Source organism: Homo sapiens, chromosome 10 (assembly GCF_000001405.40).
Source record: "Homo sapiens chromosome 10, GRCh38.p14 Primary Assembly".
Classification (NCBI taxonomy): domain Eukaryota; kingdom Metazoa; phylum Chordata; class Mammalia; order Primates; family Hominidae; genus Homo; species Homo sapiens.
This window is the reverse complement of record NC_000010.11, coordinates 84,534,778-84,544,277: the sequence shown is the minus strand read 5'-3', so window position 1 is coordinate 84,544,277 and position 9,500 is coordinate 84,534,778. Positions and strand designations below refer to the sequence as shown.

At 48.9% G+C, this 9,500-nt stretch overlaps 3 annotated features.

Moving 5' to 3' along the window:
- Window positions 740-1,239: an enhancer, noted in NCBI's record as "H3K4me1 hESC enhancer chr10:86302795-86303294 (GRCh37/hg19 assembly coordinates)". NCBI's record gives its function as "activates a minimal SCP1, AML or CMV promoter by ChIP-STARR-seq in naive H9 embryonic stem cells {active_cell/tissue: H9 hESC(naive)}" and the evidence as "EXISTENCE:reporter gene assay evidence [ECO:0000049][PMID:30033119]".
- Window positions 6,569-7,273: an enhancer, noted in NCBI's record as "NANOG hESC enhancer chr10:86296761-86297465 (GRCh37/hg19 assembly coordinates)". NCBI's record gives its function as "activates a minimal SCP1, AML or CMV promoter by ChIP-STARR-seq in naive H9 embryonic stem cells {active_cell/tissue: H9 hESC(naive)}" and the evidence as "EXISTENCE:reporter gene assay evidence [ECO:0000049][PMID:30033119]".
- Window positions 8,526-9,025: an enhancer, noted in NCBI's record as "H3K4me1 hESC enhancer chr10:86295009-86295508 (GRCh37/hg19 assembly coordinates)". NCBI's record gives its function as "activates a minimal SCP1, AML or CMV promoter by ChIP-STARR-seq in naive H9 embryonic stem cells {active_cell/tissue: H9 hESC(naive)}" and the evidence as "EXISTENCE:reporter gene assay evidence [ECO:0000049][PMID:30033119]".

The window sequence follows — 9,500 nt, the reverse complement described above, 5'->3', positions numbered from 1 at the left end:
TGCGCAGTTTCTCTGTCCCTCGTTTCTCAGACAACAATGATTCAAGAAGGAAAAACAAACAAAAAAAAAAATGTGAGCCCAAAAGAAGATGAGTATGATTCACTGGACTTCTGGCAATGGCTTACGAAAGACCATTGCCTGCAGACCACGTGACTCAGGTAGACTCCATGGCCCAGGCCTGGCCAGTCAGAGTATTGCTTCTCAACTGATGCAGTTTTAGAGATGAACACATGGCCCAATCTAAGTCACAGGTAGGGAGTGACACCTTTACTGGGTTTCCTAGAAAGGGACTCTCCCTCTCCCCCTAGAGCCTAACAGATTGTGGCTGTCCTGCCAGGGGTAGGAGCCTGAGACCAGACATGACATGGAGGAGACAGGAGCGTAAAGAAGGATGGAAAGAAACAGCATCCGTACGGCTTCTGTCAAACCCAAATCAGCCACACCTGAACTGCTCCCACCTAAGCAAGTTTGGATCTGGTTCTCCATCATCTACTTCAGTTAATCTCATGACTTTATCCCTTGTCCAGCTTAGAGTCAGTTTCCCTATCTTCAACTTTGGGCCCCTTAAAGTATGATCGGCCTCCTCCCAGGCTGATGACCTGAGCTTTGTATCTATCTCAAAGACCCTTCTTGGATAACCCTGGGAGGCTGGCCCGTAGGCAGAGAGGGTCAAATGCCCGACAAGAGAAGGTGAGAGAGACGGCTTCAAAGATTGTGGGAGCAGGGCAAGGAGGGTTCAGAGAGGGGCACAAACACCCCCTTCTCCACAAAGCATACAAGTCACCCACCGTTTGTTCAGCCCACGTATTGAATGGGGCCTTCCACGGCGGCTGCATTGCAGCAGGCGTATTTAACATCACCCTTGTCAATCTGTGACAGCCGTTTCTGCATTCTCCTCTCATCGCCATTAACATAGAAATAGCTCCATAATGACACCAGGCCTTCCCGAGCACCGCTCTCTGCTTATCTCATTATCAATGAAACTATCTTGTTATGTGGGTAAACTGGAAACAGGAACGTTCTGTATCAGATGTCACGGGGCAATTCTCCCTCATTATTTCATCACGCCGAGAGAAACTGGAGCAGCTGCTGAAATCTGCTCCTGTTTTTGAGCTTTAGGAGCAACATTTTAGAAGAGAAGCAGCTCAGATGTCAGCTGCAGTGAGTCCTAGGGGGTCTGTGAGGGGCATATTTCCTGACAACTCCCTGGTATTACTTGTCTTTGCACAAAGCAATGCCCCAGAAAGACACAGGGCAGTAAAGGCTGGGGAGGAGTGGAGAGGGGGAGGGGTCCAGGCCTGGCCAGAAATCCCCCCCAGTCAACCACTGGGTTCAGCTTTGCAGCAAGGGAGGCAGAGGGGGCTGCAGTAGCCAAAGCCCAGCTGTAACACCCCGTGACCTGCGGAGGGCTACTAATGGGTAAAAGTAGAGGCGGAGGCTTGCCAATCTGTCTGTTCGCTCCTTTTCCAGAGTTCTAATCGGGAATCTTCATGGAATACGACCTGTCCATCACAACTCAGCCCACTGTTCGTATAATGGCTTTTCCTGGCTGGTGGCTAATTGCTTTAGAATACCTGTGCTGGGCCCGCAGGTCACCATCCACTGTGTTTTATGGCTCTTGCAAAGGAAACCACTTATCAGGTGTGTAAACTCGAGGCAAATCAGGATCCTTAGAACATGCTGTTGTACTTGAGCTACAGGGAAGGAAAGCTATGATGCTTGGAAATACCAGCGTAACTGGCGGTGGCGTCTTCCATGGCTTTGAATGAGACAAGACAGCTGCTCTAGCCCTACCCAACAGAGAAAAGGAAAGAAAATCACAATCTCTCTATGCGGTGTCAATTGTTCCATAAGTGGAGGCTACAAGATTTGGAGACAATTAATAAGAACACTGTTGTATCAAGTTGGGCCCCTCTATCAAGTCTTTGCGGAATTCCATCCCGGGGTGATGCTGGGTAGCAGCCTGGCCCCTCACCTTGTACTGGTGGTGCAGGGCATTTGCCTGAACTCTGACTGAAGATAGTGTCCTCCCCTGCCTACACACATACACCACACACACACACACACACACACACACACACACACACAAGCATATACACCATACACACCATACAAGCTCTTAGGAAGACAGCTCTGTGGCTTGCACAATTTTCAAAATATCATTGTCTCAATGATATCATTTGTATCATGGAATTGGGCTATGAGTCATTCAGGCCTGACTGAGAAAAGGACATTGGTCAGTCAGCTTTGCTGGACAACCTCCACAAGCTCTCAGTGGCATATGACAATAAGCACTAATTCCCATGCTTGTAAGTGTGGCCCACTGAAGACAACTGGATGCTTGTCAAGGCTGGGCTCAGCAGGTCGGCTCTGCTTCGGGCAGTGGGACTGCAGGGCTCGGCTTCCCACTGCAGGTTGGGCTCAGGCCTGCTCTATGTGTGCTTATTATGGGATCCAGGATGAAAGGGCAGCAGCTACCAGGAGGAAACGCTTCTCATTTAGGTTCAATCAGTGAAGTGCGGGGATGCAAAGCCAATCTCTCAAGCACATTGAAAGCCTCTGCTAACCCTATGACTGCTAATATTCCATTGGCCAAAGTCATCTGCCCAAACCCAAAGTCAAGGACCTGGAAGCATGCTCTGCACAGCCTGAGGCCATGGTGAGGGTGAGTGTGGGATCCTATTCCCCCTATGCCCATCCAGATGTGCAGCCTGCCTGGGGGTGCTGAGTGGTGTTTGGGGACCATGGCCTGTGGGAAGGAGGCCAAGCCCTTCTGCCTGAGCAGGGCAGCAGAGATTCCGCGCTCTGTCGGCCAATGCCCAACTAAAGACAGGAAATTCGAGGTGAGTGACACCCAGAGGTTCGGAGAGGAAATGACACCTGGAAAGCCTGGCCCTTAAGTCCAGCCTTTGCCCTGAGGGGTGGGAGCCCATAGGCCTTCCAGCTGGGTCCCCGCAGGAGAGGCCTGGAGAATGGAGGGGAGAGCACTTCGTTGTCATCTGGATCTGCCTGCAGCCCCGGTCACCTGGCTGAATCTGGGCAGGGCCAGGCCAGGCCCACCTTGGACAGGTGCCCTGCACCGCGTGGACAGGACCGAGGCTCGGGAATCCTTGCTTCCCACGGCAAATTTTCCCTCTGGAAAACGGGAGAGACAGAAACGTGTTGCACGGAAGCACCGGGAACGCGGCGCGCCCACGCTTCTGGCCCTGGCTGGGGGCGCCGTCGGGAGACCCATCCCTCATTCCGAGGGAGCCCCCCAGGACCCCCCCGCACCGCGCCCTCCCTCTCCCCTGCGCTTGAGAAGGACTTGGTGCCTCCAGGTCGCGGGAATCTTCATCACTTCTGCAGCACTGGAGGAGGGCGCCGTTTCCACCCCTCACCATAGGCTGTAGCCGCAGGCCAGGACGCTCAGCTGGCCCCGCTGGGGCGTCCTGGCAGACAAAGTCGTCAAGAGGATTTCCAAGCGCAGCGAAGTTGCCCCTCAGATGATCAGGCAGGGTCGGGGGACCCGGCCCTGGGATCCCGCGGCCCGTTAGCTAGCCTGACTCAGCCCCGGTGAGGCGGATCCGGAGCGGGAGCCGGGCGCACTCGTGTGGCCATGCCTGGGAACGCAGGTCCGGGAAATGGGCCGCCGGGAGCTCAGGACCAGCTGCCAAGACCCCAGGGAAAGAAACATCATCTGGAGGAAGGAGGCGAAGGGAGGGAGGCCCCGGGAGCCCCTTGACAGGCCTCATTCACGCTCTGCATGTTGGAAGGCCCTTGACAGAACTGAATCTTTTATGATGGCCAGAGATGCATCCCCTTTGAAAGGAGGGCTGCCAGGTAGCACAGCCCTGCATCCTGTTCCCCAAGTTTCCCTTTCCCCTGGGGACTCACTGAGCACCTAGTCACCCCACGGCTTTGCTCTCCCTTGGGAGCTCTAGCCTGAGTCCGGTGTGAGGCTCCTCCAAGGCTGCCCTGAAGATTTGGAGGCAGCCTAAGAGACATAGCCCAGGGTAACAGGAAACAAGACAGTAACAGACAACTAAGCCCTGTGGAATCCATTCATTCCACAGGAGGTGGGGCGTGACCACCATGAGCTAGCCACCCTGGAAGGCTCTGAAGCTGTGTCCTTTGCACGCTACAGGAGGCTTTTGAATTCGACCACCAAAATTCAGACTTACCAAAGGGCAAACCCCACAGTGAGTCCTCTGCTCAGCAGGGGGCTTCTGGGTTCCTTCCCTGCTTTAAGCCCAGAAAGAGACCTCACATACTTCTGGCTCCCCAGCCCTATGCACCTCTGACGTGAGAACTCACATTTAATGGGGAGTTACTGTGTGGGAGGCACACACTCCCTTCTGATCATTTGGGTGGGCACTGGTCCTACCCAGTTTCATTCAAGAATTGGAGTGTGACTGATGTGGTTTGGCCATGTCACCACCCAAATTTCATCCTGAATTCTCAGTTATTGTGGGAGAGACCTGGTGGGAGGTAACTGAATCATGGGGGCAGGTCTTTCCCGTGCTGTTCTTGTGATAGTGAATAAGTCTCGTGAGATCTGATGGTTTGAAAAACAGAGTCTCCCTGCACAAGCTCTCTTCTCTTGTCTGCCACCATGTGAGACCTGCCTTTCACCTCCTGCCATGATTGTGAGGCCTCCCCAGCCATGTGGAACTGTAAATCCATTAAATCTCTTTCTTTTGTAAATTGCCCAGTCTCAGGTATCTCTTTATCAGCAGCATGAAAACGGACTCATACAGTGACCTTAGATGTGCTAAGAGTAAACTGGAAATTTTGAAGAAGTTCATCCAGGCAGATTGCCTTCACATTTTGGCCAGCTGCCTGGGAGCTTGATGCCATCTTTTGGATTTAGCCCAAGATTCTCAAACTTGTGATCAGTTATACTCCAAGGAATCCATAAAGGAATTTTGCTTTATTTAGTCATTTCATGGAGCATGGCGCACTGGGATATGTTGACAGTCATTTGATGTGATTGTGAGTTTGTTATTGATATAATTAGTGCAGCCAGAGAAAAGCAGCTAAAACTTCTGGGAAATTGACTCGTAATATTGTAACACATAATATAGGGGAAAAAGCAGAACCACAATAATGATTGGGGACTTGTGGTTCCTGTGCGCTTGAAGATGTGTGTGCTTGGGATTTTGATAATTTACAAAGCTTTATGCCCTCATCTCTCTGCTTTCCAGCCTTTTTAAGATCTGAAAGGAAATTTGCAAATTGGCTTCTGAAAACTATAACTGATACATCAGCAAATCAGAGCTGGCCTTGGTGAGTGAAGTCCAAATGCTGGGGCCCAGACCTGGACCCCAGTGATGGAAGGAGCACTGTATACCTGGAGACCAAAGAATCCTTTTCAAAAGAGACACCCACTTCAGGTGCAGGGGTGGCTCATTCTACTTCTGAGAAACAAACTTGCCTTCCCCCTGCCCCTCCTTTCCCATTGTTGACAACACCCCCACCCCAATCCCTGGCCTGCTGACACAGAGAACGTGTCCCAACTGGCAGAGCAAAGTTGTTTGGAGCCACTGAACACTTTAGCCAAATTCTTCAACTCTAAGCTAGCCTGCATCTAGAAGACAAAGACAACTGTTCTCCCATAATAACACAAAAGGTTCTTAGGGTTTTGGGGCATTACCCGTGGTGACCAGAGTGCCTAGTCCACCTCTCTGGAGCCAGGAAGAGAGAGAAATACTCTCTCTAGAGTATTTCTTCTATCTCTAGACGTGAAAGAAATACAGTGCCAGCCACATACTCAATTTTAAATTTTTTAAAAGTCCCATTTTATAATGTGAAAAGAAATAAGTAAAATTAATAACTTATTTTTTATTAATCCAGCATGAAATAATTTATTTCAAGATGTAATGAGTATAACAATTATTAATGAGATATTTTTCCTTTTTTATATGAAATCTGCTGTGGATTTTATATTTCCAGGGCATCTCAGTTCAGACCAGCTGCAATTTAAGTGCTCAGGAGCCACATGTAACCTGTGACTGCCTTATTGGACAGCGCAGGTCTAGAGTACATCTCTGGAGCTCATGGAACAACAGAGCACTGTCACTGCCACCACCCAAAGTCCAAACCAAGGGGCCAGGCCCTCAGCGCTGCCTTCGAAACATAACTGAACCAAAACTACCACAAATGTGGGTGGTGCCTGGGCCCGAAAGACCTAGTGGATAGCATTTGCTGAAAGCCTTCATGGGTCATTCTCATCCCAGGAATGACTGCTTGGGGAAAGGCTGAGCCAGGGCCCCTATATAAACAAGCATACTTGTTCCATCGGGACCCTTGGTTGGCTTTTCCAGGTAAATGAATGTCCACAGGAGGGCACCTACAACATCTTTAGTGCCATTGTTGTTGAATTAAAAATGAAGTCCAAGGCTGGTCTTGTGATGGATTAATCGACTTTTTATTGTGCAATAAGCAATGGAACACACATTTCCTTCTTAGCCTTGGCTGCCAGGAAACTCAGAGCCAAGTAGGTTCTCAGTTAAAAACTATTGCCTCAGCTATTCCTCCATTATGATATGGTTGTTTTCCTTTCACTTTTATTTTAATACTTTGAGGATTTGACAGGGTTTCCATCTTCTGAAACTTCAAGCAACTGTAAATCATTTTTAGAAATGGGCGGGGTACGTATAAGGAAGGTTTCAGATTTTACCACTAGATGGCAGCATTGTACAATAGACTACCGCCTTCAGCCTCCCGCCGGCCCTCCCCACTATCGCTCCGGCCTATTCCACTCCTTTAATAGCTCTATGACTTGGGCCATTGACTTTTAACACTCTGAGCCTCTCCTCTGTTTTATCATGTGAAAAAGGAAATGCTATTGTGAAAACGAACTGAGATGAAATATAGCTGGAGATGTAGTAGTAGCCTTGTGATTAAGTGCATGGATTCTGATGCAGATGACCTGGTTTCAAATTCTATTTCGCCATTTAATAGCTGTAAGTGCAGGCAAGGTATCTAACTTCAAGCCTTAGTTTCTCCTCTGTAAAATAGTGAGGCTAGTGCCTGCTTCTTAGGAATGTTGCAAGAATTTGAGGGCAGGATATAAAGCGCTTAGAACAATGCCTGGCCACACAGAACATCAAGGGTTAGAAGCTACCATCATTATCATCATCAACACATAAAGCACCCAGCACAGCACATGGAGTCATGCTTCTAGACCCCAGTGTGACACTCTTGTGCCTGTTGGTCTACGAGATGTTGGAAATGAGGCCTCCGCATGGGCTCTTCTTTGTGCCAAGGTGGGAGAACTGACTTCTGGCCCTGCTGCTCTTTGGGGTCAGAAACTGGATGGGGAGGGAGGGATGTGGTAGGTGCACTGGGAAGAAAGATGTCTGGGAGCAGCTTGTGCTGTGGGGAAGGCTTGTGGGAAGTGGGCTGGAGAGGTGAACAAATCTCTTTACGAATGTCATTGTGCAGTGTATTTGGATCCCGTCACCATTTTTGACAAAGCAAGTAAAGAGTTGACACTATTGTGAACTTTTGGCTCCCGGACTGTGTTTTAGTTTTTCCACTGCACCCTCCGTCAACACTAAACAAGAGTGGTCCTTCATTTATAATGGTTGCATTTATAAAGCACTCAACAAACATTAACTATTATTGTTGAGTGTCAGAGAACACTCAATAAACATCATGTATTATTATGCGACCAGGCTTCTGCATTCCACACCCACGTGGGTGTAATAACGCTGGGTTTTCTCCAGCGCAGTCTCCACCTGCAGGACCATAGAAACCCCCAAACTCCCTGTTGTTTCCTTTGAAACTCGCTGTATTTTCTGTTTCCAAGAACAAAAATGATTTTGTTGAATTTAATTTTCAAGTTTATATTACAGCAAAAGAAACTCAGATTTGGAAAACAAAATTAAAATTATAGTATTGAATATTCTTTCTTTAAACTCCACCCCCTCAGATATTCTAAATAACCCTCTGAAGGCAGCTTAACCTTCCCTGAAGCTCCTTGGTTCCATGAGAAGTGATTCCCCCTCAACCTCCCTCTCTAAATCTCTTCCTGTGTTAAAAAATCAATATTAGACATGAGGCCTTGCCTCAGTTTGGGGAGCATATATCTAAACACCACAGGCCCTACAGTCTGGCATACTCAGCTTCCCAAACCCTCTGTGCTATATTCCTAAGATTCCCACTGCTTCACTCACTGATAAGGAATAATGTAAGACTAACTTTATTAAAACAATTTGGGGTCACCATGTGGCGCCCAGACAGTCATCTCTTGCTACACAGTGTGTTTGGAGGAATAAGGTAGGAATCAGATGCAAAATCTTCAGTGGGGCTCTCAGAACTAGGGATCCCAAATTAGAGGGTCCAGAGACCTGGGGCCATGCCCCATGGCCACATGGGCCTGTGATGGACATCTGACAGTGAGCACAGGCTTTGCCTTCCCACCCCCACAAAGTTGGAAGGCAGCTGTGGCTCATTGCTGCTATCCTCCTGGGCCACCAAAGGTCACAGCATAGGTCTATGGCCACGGGGAGTCAATCTCTCTTGGGGGTTCCAGCTTCAGCAGCATCAGCCTTGAGAGAAAAGGGGGCTGTGCAATCAGGCAAGTACAAGGTGGGGAACAAAGGCATCCACACTGGGAAAGGAAAAGTAATACTGTCTACTGTAGATGACAAGCTCCTGTGTGCAGAAGATCCCAAGGAACCCATAAAAGCACTATCAGAACTAATACAAAGATCTATTAGTCTGCTTTAATCCTGCTGATAGAGATATACCAAAGACTGGGTAATTTATAAAGGAAAAGAAGTTTAATGGACTCACAGTTTCATGTGGCTGGGGTGGCCTCACAATCATGGTGGAAGATGAAAGGCATTTCTTTTTTTTTTTTTTTTCTTTTTTTTTTGAGACGGAGTCTCGCTCTGTCGCCCAGGCTGGAGTGCAGTGCCGCGATCTCGGCTCACTGCAAGCTCCGCCTCCCGGGTTCACGCCATTCTCCTGCCTCAGCCTCCTGAGCAGCTGGGACTACAGGCGCCCGCCACCACACCTGGCTGATTTTTTATATTTTTTAGTAGAGACGGGGTTTCACCATGTTAGCCAGGATGGTCTCGATTTCCTGACTTAGTGATCCACCCGCCTCAGCCTCCCAAAGTGCTGGGATTATAGGCGTGAGCCACCACGCTCGGCCGAAAGGCATTTCTTATGTGGAGGCAGGCAAGAGAGAGAATGAGCAGGGGAACTCCCTTTTTTAAAACCGTCAGATCTCGTGAGACTTATTCACTACAAAAACAGCAGCACAGGAAATACCCACCCCCATGATTCAATTACCTCCCACTGGGTCCTTCCCATAACATGTGGTAATTACGGGAGCTACAATTCAAACTGAGATTTGGGTGAGGATACAGCCTAACCATATTATTCCACCCCTAACCTCTCCCAAATCTCATGTCCTCACATTTCAAAACATATCATGCCTTCCCAACAGTCCCCCAAAGTCTTCTTTCAGCAAAGTCTCATTTGAGACAAGGCAAGTCCCTTCC